Source organism: Homo sapiens, chromosome 22 (assembly GCF_000001405.40).
Source record: "Homo sapiens chromosome 22, GRCh38.p14 Primary Assembly".
Classification (NCBI taxonomy): domain Eukaryota; kingdom Metazoa; phylum Chordata; class Mammalia; order Primates; family Hominidae; genus Homo; species Homo sapiens.
Genome location: NC_000022.11, coordinates 40,823,903 through 40,840,098, shown reverse-complemented (window position 1 = coordinate 40,840,098; position 16,196 = coordinate 40,823,903). Strand labels below are relative to the sequence as shown.

General features: G+C 37.9%; 1 protein-coding gene across 2 annotated transcripts in view; it reads left to right on the top strand.

Moving 5' to 3' along the window:
* The window catches only part of ST13 (ST13 Hsp70 interacting protein), a 32,105-nt gene extending 16,541 nt beyond the window's left edge, over nt 1-15,564 (top strand). For both annotated transcript variants that reach the window (NM_001278589.2, NM_003932.5), the window contains exons 6-12: nt 4,212-4,296; nt 4,429-4,539; nt 7,428-7,530; nt 9,143-9,259; nt 10,425-10,473; nt 12,870-13,003; nt 13,433-15,564. In NM_001278589.2, coding sequence (NP_001265518.1) covers nt 4,212-4,296; nt 4,429-4,539; nt 7,428-7,530; nt 9,143-9,259; nt 10,425-10,473; nt 12,870-13,003; nt 13,433-13,561 — 728 coding nt within the window. In that variant the 3' untranslated portion in view covers nt 13,562-15,564. The remainder of the gene's footprint in view (nt 1-4,211; nt 4,297-4,428; nt 4,540-7,427; nt 7,531-9,142; nt 9,260-10,424; nt 10,474-12,869; nt 13,004-13,432) is intronic.
* Nucleotides 15,565-16,196: the final 632 nt, after the last annotated feature.

Below are 16,196 nucleotides of genomic sequence, written 5' to 3'. Positions count from 1 at the left end.
GGCTCACTACAACCTCCGCCTCCCGGGTTCAAGCAGTCCTCCTGCCTCAGCCTCCCGAGTAGCTGGGATTACAAGCGCGTACCACCATGCCCAGCTAATTTTTTGTATTTTTATTAGAGAAGGGGTTTCACCATGCTGGCCAGTCTGGTCTTGAACTCCTGACCTCGTGATCTGCCCGCCTCAGCCTCCCAAAGTGCTGGGATAACAGGCATGAACCACTGCGCCCAGCCTCTTTTTTTATATATATTTATTTTTTTAACTCTCCAAGGTAACAATAGGTTATTATTTTTTTCTTTTTTCTGTTTTTCAGTTGTATTTTATTTTATTTTTTATTTTTGAGACAGAGTCGTGCTTTGTCGTCCAGGCTGGAATGCAGTGGCGTGATCTCGGCTCTCTGCAACCTCCACCCCAAGTCGAGCAATTCTCCTGCCTCAGCCTCCCTAGTAGCTGGGATTACAGGCGTGTGCTACCATCTCCAGCTAATTTTTGTATTTTTAGTAGAGACGGGGTTTCACTATGTTGGCCAGGCTGGTCTCAAATTCCTGACCTCGAGTGATGTGCCCGCCTCTGCCTCCCAAAGTGCTGGGATTGCAGACGCGAACCACTGCGCCCGGCCCATGGTAGTATTAAGTGTAATGTTTGATCGGTTATAATTTGTAAGAACAAATCATGTATAAACTTGGGTACTGTGGCTGCTTGAGTAATATTTCACTCTTTATAACAGTGATAGTGTGTCACAATGCCATAGTTGACTAGATGCTATTGTATAGTGCTCATGTGCATTTGGACTTCATTATTAGATTTAGAAGATGATTGAAGTTATTTTTAGAATGAGTTCAGTATTGATGTTCCGAGTTAGTATATATTTTAAACATTTTGTGATTCTACCACCTGATTAATTTAGCTCCTTAAAACATGTTTATACTGTTTTATACTGCAGTTGCCTTAATAGTTTACCTTCCTGAAAAATTTATTCCTTTATTGCTTTCTGTTTACTTTCCCTAGGTTATTCTTAGAGCTGTTTTTTATTCTACTCTTGCTTGTAACCTGTGATTAACTTTTGCATATATATTTAAGATCTTCATCAGAGGATTATAGACCTGCCAGACTAAGATCCTGTATTTTACTTCTCCAATCTTGTTTTCTCCAGTCAGACTTTACTGTTCTAGAATTTTTTTTTTTTTTTTATTTATGCTATACTGTTTCTCTGGAAAGCTTTTCTTCACATATTTCAACTTTTAATTCATACCTATCAGTTGTTCCCAGCCATTGCTCTTCTGTACCATTCCTTTTCATCGCACGAAACTTTTGCTAATTTCCCTACCACCTAAATTTTAAGAGACAGAGTCTTACTCTGCCACTCAGTTTGGAGTGCAGTGGCATGGTCATGGCTCACTGCAGCCTCAAGTTTTGTAGGCTCAAGCAATCTTCCTGAGTAGCTGGCAATACAGGTGCCTGCCACCATGCCTGGCTAATTATTATCTCTTTTTTTTTTTTTTGGTAGAGATAGGGTTTCATCCTGTTGCCCAGGCTCGTCTTGAACTCCTGCCCTCAAGCAGGCCTCCCAAGCTCAGCATCTGAAAGTGCTAGGATTACAGGTGTGAGGCACTGTGCCCAGCCCATTTTAAAATTTACTGTCTCGGCAATATGTAACAAAAGGAAAATGAGGCTATCACCTAATCATGTTTTTGTTTTCTCACTTTTTTCTGAACTCTCTGTTCATGTGCCTTTGTAAATTTAATCTAGTTCTGATTTTAGAATTTATGCAATTGTATAGTGTATTCTAAAGGATAAAAGATTAGTATTCTAAAGCAGGGGTTGTGAATCCAAGCTCCACCAAGGTTGGTGAAGGCAGTTTTGTTTGGAGAATGTAATTAAAACCTGGAGTATGGAGCCAGAGTGGTATGGTTTGAATCCCACGTCTGGCACTTAACTGTGGCTGCTTTCCCACTACAACAGCATCATTGAGTAGTTATGACAGATTGTATGGTCTGCAGAGATTAAAATAATTCTTATTTGGCCCTTTCCAGAAAACGTTTACCAACTCCTGAACTAAATGTATGGAGGAGCCATTTGTTTAGTTGGGAAGATACAGATTGGGAATAGATTTGGAAATGGGCTAGGAAATGGGAATTCAGTTTTTCGGTTTTGAGTGGGCGTGGTGGTTCACACTTAACAATCCCAGCACTTTGAGGGGCCGAAGCGAAAGGATCTCTTGAGTCCAAGAGTCCAAGATCAGCCTGGTCAACACAGTGAGACTCCATCTCTTAAACACAAAAAATTAGCTGGATGTGGTAGCACGTTTCTGTAATATGAGCTACTTGAGAGGCTGAGATGGGAGGTTCCCTTGAGGCTGGGAGGATCCTTTGAGCCCAGGAAGTTGAGGGTGCAGTGAGCTGTGATTGTGTCACTGCACTCCAACCTGGGTGACAGAGCAAGACCTTTTTTTTTTGAGATGGAGTTTCAGTCTTGTTGCCCAGACTGGAGTGCAATGGCACGATCTTGGCTCACCGCAACCTCCGCCTCCCGGGTTCAAGCGATTCTCCTGCCTCAGATTCCTGAGTAGCTGGGATTACAGGCATGCGCCACCATATGCGGCTAATTTTATATTTTTAGTAGAGACGGGGTTTCTCCACGTTGGTCAGGCTGGTCTTGGTATTTCTCCATGTTGGTCAGGCTGGTCTTGAACTCCCGACCTCAGGTGATCCACCTGCCTCGGCCTCCCAAAGTGCTGAGATTACAGGCGTGAGCCACTGTGCCCAGCCAAGACCCTGTCATAAAAAAAATTTAGGTTTTGAACATGGTAGGTCTGAGTTGTTTATTAGACATTTAAGTGTAATTACCTATAATAGATACCTGTAGTAGTAATTAATAAGACTGAGCATTTTTCTGTGTTGTTTTTGTGAGTTCTTTTCAAGTCCTTTACTCATTCGCTAACTGGCTAAGTATCTTTCACAGTGAATTGTGACATTTATTTAAAAATTTCTGTGTTCGGCCTGGCACAGTGGTAATCCCAGCTACTCAGAAGGCTGAGTTGGGGGGATTACTGGAGCCCAGGAGTTCGAGAGCAGCCTAGGTGACACAGTGAGGCCCAGTCTCTAAAAAATTTTTTTTAATTAGCCAGGTTTAGTGTTGTGGGCTTGTATTCCCAGCTACTCAGGAAGCTGAGGTGGGATGATCACTTCAGCCTGTGAGCTATGATCATGCCACTGTACTCTAGCCTATGTGAGAGTTAGACCCTGTCTCTTAAAAAAAATTCTGTATTTGTCTTGCCTCCCCAAGATTTAGACTTTGTGCAAAGAACTCTTCTGATTCTATAGGGTGTTTTATTTGTTGAATGACATAAGGGATTAGTAAAGAAGCTAACTATGAGAATAGGACAAAATGAATTAAAGTATAGGTTATGGTCTTTTATGAATTCTAGTTTTCTTGAATTTTTGTACCATTTCTTTGAATTCAAATAATAAGCATATTGTTGTTTTCTTTTAAAATCAGCCCTGTGAAGTTAACATGGGTTACTTTTCCTTTCTAAGCTTAATTTTTTCTTTTTAATTTAATGGATAAAAGAAAATCAATGGAATAAAATTAATTTATCTTATCCTTTAAATTGATTTTATCTTTTTACTTTTTTCTTTTATTTTTATTTTTATTTTTTTGAGACGGAGTCGTGCTGTGTCACCCAGGCTGGAGTGCAGTGGTGATCTCGCCTCACTGGAAGCTCCGCCTCCCGGGTTCGCGCCACTCCTCAGCCTCCCAAGTGGCTGGGACTACAGGGCTCCGCCCCCACGCCCAGCTAATTTTTTGTATTTTTTAGTAGAGATGGAGTTTCACCGTGTTAGCCAGGATGGTCTCGATCTCCTGACCTCATGATTTGCCTGCCTTGGCCTCCCAAAGTGCTGGGATTACAGGCGTGAGCCACCGTGCCCGTCTACTTTTTCCTTAAACAAGATCAATATGGGTCATACTAAGAATGTGCTATTCTATTGTTAGTTAGGGGCTTACGTACTCAGAAATTGTCTTACCTCGTGAGTTACAGTATAGGTGTGGTAAGATTTGCTTTCAAGAGCCAGTTTTAGTATAACTTAGTTGTCTTTTTTATTTTTACTTGATTAAAAGAAAAATGTAAAAGACTTAACTGGATAACAGATCAAAACTTTTTATTAATATTTTTATCCTCTGAATATTTCTCGATAACTTTTGTTTCACTTTAGGTGAACTCCAGAAAGCCATTGACTTATTCACAGATGCCATCAAGCTGAATCCTCGCTTGGCCATTTTGTATGCCAAGAGGGCCAGGTGAGAACTCTAAACAGAAAAGCATCCCCTGGCAAATAATTTCTGCACATTTGTTTAAATAGAGTTGCTTCTGTGTTGATCCCAAAACTTTTACTGAAATGAATACTTTTTAATAACACACTTATTTTTCAGTGTCTTCGTCAAATTACAGAAGCCAAATGCTGCCATCCGAGACTGTGACAGAGCCATTGAAATAAATCCTGATTCAGCTCAGCCTTACAAGTGGCGGGGGAAAGCACACAGGTAAATAATTGAATTTAATTATTTTCAGAACTCTTTACATTTAAATCTGATGTTTTAAGATGCTTTGTTTAAACAAAAACACAAAAGTTCCTAATGACTTAATTTTCAAATTAGTGTGTACTTAGTATCAAGAAGTGAGATAGCTTGTAGACAGCTGCTTAAAAGGTAAAAGAAAAAAAAAAGAAATTTAAAAGAAGAAGTGAGAATATAGGAAGGAAGAAATAAAAAGTATTTTCATTTTTTTCATTCAAATAAAGCTACTCTTACCAGTTTTTGACTACATATGGCCAAATATAAGGAAAGGATTTTTACTTAAAATTAATTCCAGGAAAAGAAAGAATGATCTTTTATCAGTGTCCTTACAAATTTTCTCTTACTTTCAGACTCTGTAAGTTAGCATTGAACTACCAGTGTATTATAGAAGAAGGAGTATGCCAGCCTGAAACTACTTCAGTCACTGCTAGGCCACCTGAAAAATTAGGAGAAGGCGGGGGGGCATAAAGAGGTGAATTTAACCCAGATTAGTAATTATACCTTGCAGCAAAACTTAGGAATATTTGTATCTTGGGAATGAAGTGTTCAGTGACTTTCACATGTTACCTGGGTTGAAAGGGCTCAAATGTGGATGGAGATAAAGATGGATATGTTTTTAGGACAACTGTATTAGCTGACTCAGAGTAGCTCTAGTGGATTTTATGACACATGTTAAAGATAAACATTAAAAGTTGAAATAAAATTTATTAATGCTGTGTCAGCACAGGAAAAGCCCATGCATTGCTGTTGATCCTTTTGAAATCCCATTAGTCCAAGTATTTCTTTGCCTTCTAATACAAGACAGCGTTGGCTCATCTTGTGCTTTGCTTGTCTCAGACTGAAAATAAGCTATTTCTGTGGGAAATCGTGGTTCATTATAGCGGAAACTAAGATTTGATCACTGTGTCTGTTCATTGCTTCTGGTATGTACTGTCGTTTCAATGAACAGCTAGAAAAAAACATTTTAAAAATCATGAATTTAGGGAAAAAATTCTTGAAATTGTGAGTTTATACTGATATTTTCTATTAAAATGTAACATTAAATGTTTTGTTTTACCTTTTAGTTTGTATTTTTGACACTTGTGTGGTAAAAATTTTTGTCCTAGTTTTACATTTACTTACTACAATGCTGTGATATACATAAAACTGTTTCAGAATTACAATACCTTAAAAACAGTATACACTCTAAGTAAAGTTTGAAGGTTTTTTGGGAAGTTTTTGTTTTGCTTTGTCTTTTGTTTCTACACAGAGTCTCACTCTGTTGCCCAGGCTGGAGTGCAGTGGTGCGATCTAGGCTCACTGCAACCTTCACCTCCCAGGTTCAAGTGATTATCCTGCCTCAGTCAGCCTTCTGAGTAGCTGGGATTACTTACAGTCGCGCCCCACCATGCCCAGCTAATGTTTTGTATTTTTGGTAGAGAGGGGGTTTCGCCTATTAGCCAGGCTATTCTCAAACTCCTGGCCTCAAGTGATCTGCCCTCCTTCCCCTCCCAAAGCATTGGGATTACAGGTGTGACCCAAGGATGTTCTTATTCTTAGAATATATATCCCACTTGAAATATACAGTCAAGATAACTATGAAAAGTTACTTGAATTCATTTTTTTCTGTGTAGCTTATGTTGTTAATGCAATACACAGTGTTTTGTTTTGTTTTGTTTTGTTTTGAGGCATTTTGCTCCTTCACCCAGGCTGGAGTGAAGTGGTGCAATCTTGGCTCACTGCACCCGCCCCGGGCTCAAGCGGTTCTCCTGCCTCAGCCTCCCAAGTAGCTGGGATTACAGGTGTGCGCTACCATGTGTGGCAAATTTTTTATATTAGAGATGGGGTTTTGCCACATTGGCCAGGCTGGTCTTGAACTCCTGACCTCAGGTGATCCACCAGCCTCAGCCTCCCAAAGTGCTAGGATAATAGGCATGAGCCATCGCGCCTAGCCACACCTTATTTCTTTTTTTTTTTTTTTTTGAGATGGAGTCTTCCTCTGTCACCCAGGCTAGAGTGCAGTGGCGCGATCTTGGCTCACTGCAAGCTCTGCCTCCTGGGTTCATGCCATTCTCCTGCCTCAGCCTCCTGAGTAGCTGGGACTACAGGCGCCTGCCACCGCGCCTGGTTTTTTGTATTTTTAGTAGAGATGGGGTTTCACCGGGTTAGCCAGGATGGTCTTGATCTCCTGACCTCGCGTTCTGCCCGCCTCGGCCTCCCAAAGTGCTGGGATTACAGACGTGAGCCACCGCGCCCAGCCACACAGCTTCTTATTTCTGTTTGTATTCAGGTTTAGGATTTGCTTTATTTCCATTTTTCTGATTTTATTTTTTGAGTATGTAAAGCATTTAAATGTTCGAAGAGTTACACCTGAGTTAAAAGGTATACCCAGTGAATTCTCAGTTTTCGTTGCTGTCTCCTCTGCCCCATTCTCACCTACTGTCACCAACCTTTAGTTTCTGGTTTACTTGTTCTGAGTTTTTCGTAAAGCCTGTACACATGTATTATTTTCTCTTCTGTCTTACATAGAAGGTAGCTAAAAGCTAACACATTATGTTAGTCCTGGTTTGGGCGAGTTGAAAGTTACTGGTCTACATACTTAGAAAATTACGATATTCTGAATTAAGAAAGATTTTGTTTGTTTTTTAGCTTTTAGTAGAAAAGCAGCTTTAAATAGAGGAAATTTAAATGTTTTCAGGTTTTTATAGAGTTAACTAAAATGGGATATAGTAATTGAATTGGTTAGTGAAAGTTTATAGTTAATATTTAACTTAAGCCTGTTTTAGAACAATCCTTTTTTGTAAGGAAGAAAGATATCATGCCACATAGGTGAATATGTATAAAAGGCTCCTAAAATGAGTGTAAATCTGTTTCAGACTTCTAGGCCACTGGGAAGAAGCAGCCCATGATCTTGCCCTTGCCTGTAAATTGGATTATGATGAAGATGCTAGTGCAATGCTGAAAGAAGTTCAACCTAGGGTATGTCAAAGTAGAGAAAGGGAAAGTCATTAGTTAAATACTCCATCGCTGTAGTGCTTAGCCCCCGACAGCTGTAATTCATCTGAAAAACAGGCAAAGAAACAAACCATTGGAAGATATAATCTGTAATTGCTGAAGTTTGTGCTCGACTCTGGAGATCTCATTAGGTTTTCATGCTTTCATTTCTCATGCATTATTAGAGCAAACTCTGTTACTTTGTTTGGAAGCCTGCAGTGGAATTATAACCAGAAAATTAGAAAAGGGGGTATCAGGTTTACAACAAGGAAACAAATAGAAAATCTATAATTAGCATTACCCAGGATTGAATCTGATGTGTCCTTATTTATCATAGGTGTGTACAACCACTTTATAAAGCAAGAAGACCTTGTGGAAGTTAAGAAGTTTCAGGCTTTCCGGCCAGGCGCGGTGGCTCATGCCTGTAATCCCAGCACTTTGGGAGGCCGAGGCAGGTGGATCATGAGGTCAGGAGTTCAAGACCAGCCTGGCCAACGTAGTGAAACCCTGTCTCTACTAAAAGTACAAAAAGTTAGCCAGGTGTGGTGGCATGCGCCTACGTAGTCCCAGCTACTCGGGAGGCTGAGGCAGGAGAATCACTTGAACCTGGGAGGTGGAAGGTTGCAGTGAGCCAAGATCACGCCACAGCACTCCAGCCTGGGTGACAGAGCGAGGCTGTCTTAATAAAACAAAGAAGTTTCAATCTTTTAAAAATAATAATATTGAATCCCAAAAGTAGAACATTCCAGCTTTTAAGGATGATTTTTATCTAAAATTGTTGGTTAAAATAATTTTAATGTGTTTACATGGTAAATCCTTCATTTTGTGGGAAGTTCAGCTGTCAAGAATTTACTCTCAGAGATTTTAAGATAGTGGGAATTGTATTGAATTTAATTATTTACTGCCAGAGAGTTCATTTGGTTTTCTGTTTTCTTCTTAAAATAGGGCAAAGTTGTAACTTTGTCAGCAAAGTGTAAACAAGCTAAAGTGACAGTTGAATATGAATCTCTTAAATGTATTTTATTCTCTGAGGAAATAACATCCAGAGCATTTATTTGATACTAGTGTCTGGTATACATATTTACATTTTTCCCTCTTAATCCCTATAGCAATTTGATAATATTAAATATTTCTTCCTCTCCCATTTTATGGATACAGAAACTTAAATATACTGTGGCATATACTTGGGGTATGAGTTCCCAGTCTCTGCCTTCCCACGGCAGACATCCGTAATAATACTCTTCCTACTGAATTCAGCTGTCCGTCTGAAACCTAAACACTGTGTATCTGATAGAAACTAGCAGGCAAGAATTGTCATGCACTTAGAAACCTGTTTGTTAATCTTTGAGCTTAATTGTTTGAGATTATAACATTTCTAACTTCAAATCCCAGGCCCCTTTACTCTGTTTTACAGTGCCTCATGCAGTTGAGGTTGGTTTTCTTAAAGGCTTAGCTTGTGTTAGGTCTTTTTGTACAAGACAAATCTGTCATTTTTCTGAACTGCATGTTGAATTAAACATCTCTCTACAAAGAATATTTGTGTTGATGTTATTCAGCTTTTGGAGCAAGCTTATTTTGCTATGGCTCTTTTTTCTAGGCACAGAAAATTGCAGAACATCGGAGAAAGTATGAGCGAAAACGTGAAGAGCGAGAGATCAAAGAAAGAATAGAACGAGTTAAGAAGGCTCGAGAAGAGCATGAGAGAGCCCAGAGGGTAAATTTCCTATAGCTAAGCCATGAAAGGAAAATACGGCAAATTATGTAGAGGCATTAGGACACTAAAATTTTAATTCCTGGCTCTTTTATTTAATGCTGGCTACAGTTCTATAGAGTAATGATATTACTTATGGGGAGTCTCCTTTCACTGTATCTAATTTGGGGGACATTTTTAGTCTTAAATTATTCAGTGAGCTTTTATTTCACCATTTTATATTCTTGTTTGTGTTTTTATAAAATCAGTTGTTTTTCCAGGTCAAGTAATTGAAATGTGACAGTATTATTGTTTGATCTTTTGAGGATGCTTCGCCAGATTAATTAAATTTATGATTCCTCCTCTCTTCCAACAGTGGATGTGTTGCTATTTAAAAATGATTCTAGCAGGGCAAGGTGGCAAGTGCCTATAGTCCCAGCTCTTGGGAGGCTGTGGTGGGAGGTTCACTTGAGCCCAGGAGTTCGAGACTAGCCTGGGCAACATAGTGTGATGCTACAATAATTCACCTACTTATTTCTAACATTATTGAATGAAAGAACATGAAAGAACCTAAGGCTGTATTATATAATATGTTACATTCTAATTTTTTGTCCATTTAATATTAAGCATCATACTTGATTTTAAGGTTATAGTTTATAATCTTTAAAAGTAATTTATCTCCTTGATATTTAAAAGCAATATATCTCCTCAATAATTTTAAAACTACATATGAGGGATATTTATTTTTTGTTCATTTTCTCTTTTAAAAAGCAGCAAAAACAAATCAATAAATCTACATTTGTATTATGTAGGGAGAATAACGGAAAAGATGTACCTAGGAAACAAAAGTCATGGTAGTCTTGGTAATCTAGCCATGTCCTTCCCTATGGGTGTTTTAAAGCCAGGATGAATTTAGAGTTTTCATATTAGTACTATAAATTGTTTTCCAGGTTTACTTGTTTCCAGAGTAGAAGTAAAACACTTTACTTGAAATTACTACCAAGAATAATGCCCACTGAGAATCCAGTTTGGAAAAAATGTTTGAAGGGGGTATGAAGTATATCCTTCAGTTCAGTATTGCCATCTACTAGGTTATTTTACAATTTTTTCATGGTCTTGCATGGACAGGTTGCATGGACAGCACTTATTTCTTCTTCTATTATATAATTTATTTCCTTTTGTATCAAAGGAGGAAGAAGCCAGACGACAGTCAGGAGCTCAGTATGGCTCTTTTCCAGGTATATTTAAAGAAAAGTTAAAACTGTTTTGTTCTATTATACAGTGATATTTTAATATAATACTTAATATTTATTATAAAGTGATATTCTGATTTTGTTCTCTTATACAGTGATATTCATGAAGAACCTAGGTAAAAGAAATGATGGAATTATTAGGCATAAAAATGATGTTTTTTGTACAGTGTAAAAATAGCGTATTTTTCTTTCAAATGTGATCAGAAATTGCTAGTGAGGCAAATCTTTGAATACCAGAGGACAGGACTAACACAGAGATAGAAGAGACGGAAAAGGCACGCAGAAGATTTATTGAGTACTTCCTGATTACGACAGTGTGGAATTTATATAAAGACCAGGACAAGACTTAATTTTTTGTTTTTTAAACAACTGTCTCCAGTTGTTTAATGGTAACTAGCTTTCTCTTAAGGAAAGTTTTTAGAGGCTACGTATGCTTATATGTCACTGGTTAGAACTTAGTTGCATGATCCGATGCTAGAAAATCTAGCCTTTATTCTGAAAGAGTATGTGCACAGCAACAGAAAACAAACCTAGAACAAATATTGAGGATGACCTGCTGTTTGAAGAAAAAGCAAGAAATTAAATTTAGCTCATAGTTTACTTCCTATGTAAAATATAAATAATCTTATTGTCAGATATCTTTGTTTTAGAAAGTGACTGCTAATGTTGGGCTAGTACTAGAGAGAATTTTCTGTTATGTACATTTTATTTAGATTTGACAAGCTTTGGGTCAGTAATTTCGTTACGGGTAGGCACTAATTTTTCAAAGCTTTGGGATAAGTAGGGGCAGCAAGAGAAACTAGAAGTTGTTTTATGGTCCCCTTAGATTTCTTCATCTCTGATTGTTAGTTATTAATGGCCATATTTTAATTAACTGTGGAAGCAGGTAAAAATGACTTTATCATGTGTTTCCTTCTTTAAAACGGCTTTACTTACAGTGACCCTTTGTAGAATACATTAATGTTGTCTTTCTCTATATTATTTTTTTTTTTATTATTGAGACAGAGCCTCGCTCTGTCGCCCAGGCTGGAGTGCAGTGGCGTGATCTTGGCTCACTGCAAGCTCCGCCTGCCGGGTTCACGCCATTCTCCTGCCTCAGCCTCCCGAGTAGCTGGGACTACAGGCGCCTGCCACCACGCCCGGCTAATTTTTTTTTTTTTTTGTATTTTTAGTAGAGACGGGGTTTCACCGTGTTAGCCAGGATGGTCTCGATCTCCTGACCTCGTGATCTGCCCGCCTCGGCCTCCCAAAGTGCTGGGATTATAGGCTTGAGCCACCACGCCCAGCCATCTTTCTCTATATTATTAATTGTAATTTTAGAATATCTCCAGTAGACATACAGGTTTATGATATTGAAGAACAGAGTAGATTATTTGGGTTTATAATCGAACAAATTATACTGAGAGAATAAAATCCTTTTTGCTAGAGCATTATTCTCTGTAAAGAAGCACCAGGAATTCTTGTTAAAAATCCAGGTTTCCAGTTTCACTTTCAGAGAATTTTTATTTTATTTGAAATGGAAATGAAAAATCAACAGATAAGCCTTTTAAGGTCGTCCTTAACTGAAGGAAGATCTATGCTAGAAGAGTATAGTTGAAACAAAAACCTAAACTAAACTCGTATGAATTAATTTTAAATTGAAACAGACAAATATTCAAGAATGGAGAGTTGAAAGATGATCAAAATGACTAGCTTTATAATCTAAGATAATTATACAATTTATAATTATCTAAGGAACTGTTAGATGACTCTTTGCTTTTAAGGCGAGATTAGTCTTTTTTAACAGTGTTATTACTAGAAAAAAGTTGCTGAGCATGGTGGCTCACACCGGTAATCCCAGCACTTTGGGAGGTTGAGGGAGGCAGGCAGGTCACCTGGGGTCAGGAGTTCAAGAGCGGCCCGGCCAACTTGATATAAAAATATAAAACATATTTATAAAAATAAAAAATATATTTATAAAAATATAAAAATTAGGCATAGTGGTGCGTGCCTGTAGTCTCAACTACTCAGAAGGCTGAGGCAGGAGAATTGCTTAAACCCGGGAGGCAGAGGTGGCAGTCAGCCAAGATGGCACCACTGCATTCTAGCCTGGGCGACAGAGCAAGACTCCGTCTCAAAACAAACAAAAATAAAAAACAGTGTTATTACTAGAAAAAAGTTAATCCAGGAGGTAGCAAAGTCTGATTTACAGCCTTGTTTTTAAAGAGATAATTAGAAGCTATAACTTATGTCTTGTTGCAGTCTGGTTAGAATTTTCAGACTCTTCAGACTACTTTGTGCTTAGTGGCACCCATATTCTTTGAACCTGTACTTTTTGTGGATGAAATACTGTGTCAGAATATTTGGGAGTATGATTAGTGTCTATTCATTTTTTATTACAGGTGGCTTTCCTGGGGGAATGCCTGGTAATTTTCCCGGAGGAATGCCTGGAATGGGAGGGGGCATGCCTGGAATGGCTGGAATGCCTGGACTCAATGAAATTCTTAGTGATCCAGAGGTTCTTGCAGCCATGCAGGTAAGACTTGGAAGAAAAACTTTGGACTTTGTATCATTAAGGCAATTCTTTCATAATTCTGTGTGGAGACAAAGGTTACTCTCATAGCTATTTTTTATTTATCACAGTTACCAAATAGCTAATTATGCAAGAGTGACATTTATTTTCTTTATGCAGAGTGAGTAACTTAAATTTTTAAAACTAGGAAATACTTAGCAATCGGCAATTATATCCAGTTGTCCTTTTCTTTGTATCAAAATTGTGCTTTTTTCATCATACAGTTCAAATGACTTAATTCAGCTTGATTTTGATACTTCAAGCACTCATCTAAACCCCATTTAACTTAACTATCACCAAATTACAGGTCTAAATAAGAGATGGAATTTAGGATAATAAACTTACTGACCCAGTAGGACACTTTTTAAATACTAATGAACCCTTTCTTTTCAGGATCCAGAAGTTATGGTGGCTTTCCAGGATGTGGCTCAGAACCCAGCAAATATGTCAAAATACCAGAGCAACCCAAAGGTTATGAATCTCATCAGTAAATTGTCAGCCAAATTTGGAGGTCAAGCGTAATGTCCTTCTGATAAATAAAGCCCTTGCTGAAGGAAAAGCAACCTAGATCACCTTATGGATGTCGCAATAATACAAACCAGTGTACCTCTGACCTTCTCATCAAGAGAGCTGGGGTGCTTTGAAGATAATCCCTACCCCTCTCCCCCAAATGCAGCTGAAGCATTTTACAGTGGTTTGCCATTAGGGTATTCATTCAGATAATGTTTTCCTACTAGGAATTACAAACTTTAAACACTTTTTAAATCTTCAAAATATTTAAAACAAATTTAAAGGGCCTGTTAATTCTTATATTTTTCTTTACTAATCATTTTGGATTTTTTTCTTTGAATTATTGGCAGGGAATATACTTATGTATGGAAGATTACTGCTCTGAGTGAAATAAAAGTTATTAGTGCGAGGCAAACATAACTCATTTGAGGATAAAGTTTGTGTTGGATATGTGGTTCCTGATGCATTTTGACTTGTCTTTTTAAATGCTTTATCTTTTTCTTTAAAGATTTATTTCAATAAAACTAATTGGGACCACCCGTATTTCAGTAGGACCTGGGTAGGGATTGGAAGTACTTGGCAGGGCAGCAGCAATCTTGCTGTGTTTGATATAACATGCATCCTTGGGCAGGTTGCCCTTAAATCTTACACTGTGGTGAAGGGATGTTTTTTTTGTAATGCTGCAGTAGAGTTGGAGTACTTAGTTCTCTTGTTGTCCAGTATATCTAATAAGTGTTTTTCATATTATTTCCACGTAAGGGAAATAAGGTAGTACTTTTCTTTTTATATTTCTATGCTTAAAATTCTCTTTCCTAGTCAAAAATTGCCCAAATCTGTGTTTGCTTTCTGCTTGCTACATTTGTCTCCCTTACTTTTCTTGAGCTAAAGACAGGCTTTTTCCACCGGCATCATCACTGCTATCATCATTAACAGCGTAATTATACAAGCATATTTAATGCTGAGTTTAATTTAATATGTAATACATATGGTAATTGTAGGGTAATACCCACAACAACTGTAGTTTCTTACTTGGCCAAGAGAATGCTTATTTAAGTGTTAGACTTCCATTCTGGCAAAATCTTGCCTTATCAGAAGACATTGGAAAGAGGGATTCCCTTTGGTGTTTGGTCTTCTACTTAGAAAAACCTATTGCAGTTAGTTTATCTTGTAGTATTCATCTTTGTATTCTGAAGATAAGGTTTGAATTAAATTGATACACACAGAGGGGAACCGATTTTTTTTATCCAATGTGAATTATAAATGAGATAATCCACAGTTATTCATTGTGGAGTTGTTGAGACTATGAAAGACTCATTGTCTTTGTATTCAGCTCTTAAATAGTGTAACTATATCCCCACCTCTGCTTGCTTTCTTTCCCTCCCCTCCAATGATAAAGAAAATGATAAATTTTCTGTTGTGCATTCAATTCTTATTTTAAATAAGACTAAGTATAGGCATTGTACCTGACATTGCTACGTTTCTACCAGTGTTTCAATTTAAAGTGCTAGTGTTTAAAAACATTTTCAAGGGATAAGGCCTTCTGTACTTTGCTTATTTGAAGAATCAGTGGTAGGAGCAGTGAAGTAAATTCTATGGAGTACATTTCTAAAATACCACATTTCTGAAATCATAAATAAGTTTATTCAGGTTCTAACCCTTTGCTGTACACAAGCAGACAGAAATGCATCTGTTACATAAATGAGAAAAAGCTATTATGCTGATGGAGCATGCTTTTTAAATCCTTTAAAAACACTCACCATATAAACTTGCATTTGAGCTTGTGTGTTCTTTTGTTAATGTGTAGAGTTCTCCTTTCTCGAAATTGCCAGTGTGTACTTGGCTTAACTCAAGAACAGTTTCTTCTGGATTCCTTATTTGATTTATTTAACCTAATTATATTCTAATATTGCAAATATTACCATAAGTGGGTAAAAGTAAAATTCCTCTTCTGAAAATGTGTCCTGTGCTTTTAGATTTTTAAATTCCATAATATACATTCTTAATTTTCAACTCAATATTCTAAACCAGAAATGTTTTCTTGTACTGATGCTATCAGAAGGAAGTTTTTTCTGCTTAAAAATATAGTTATATTTCTAGCTGTCTTTAAAATACGGTTTCAAACTAGATATTGGGCAGGTGCGGTGGCTCACGCCTGTAATACCAACACTTTTGGGAGGCCGAGGCGGGCAGATCGTCTGAGGTGAGGAGTTCAAGACCAGCCTGGCCAACATGGCGAAATCCCGTCTCTACTAAAAATACAAAAACTAGCCAGGCATGGTGTTGGGCACCTGTAATTCCAGCTACTCGGGAGGCTGAGTCAGGAGAATCACTTGAACCTGGGAGGCAGAGGTTGCAGTGAGCTGAGATCACGAAACACAGTCTCAAAAAACAAAAACTAGTTTTTAATTTCCCCCCCCACCCCCGACTTTTTGTAGCATATGTTCTATTTTATGTCTCTGGTACTCAGGTTATTTACTAGGTATATTAGGCTGCAGACTATTAAGTGCTGCAAACAAGAACCCCTAAAAAACATGTACTTTATTTTGGGTAGCTGTTCAGAGGCAGGCATTCTGCCATACTTAGAAGGTAGCTTCCATTTCTAGTCCAAAGTTGCTTGCTCTGGTGCTCATTCTCCAATTGAGGAAAT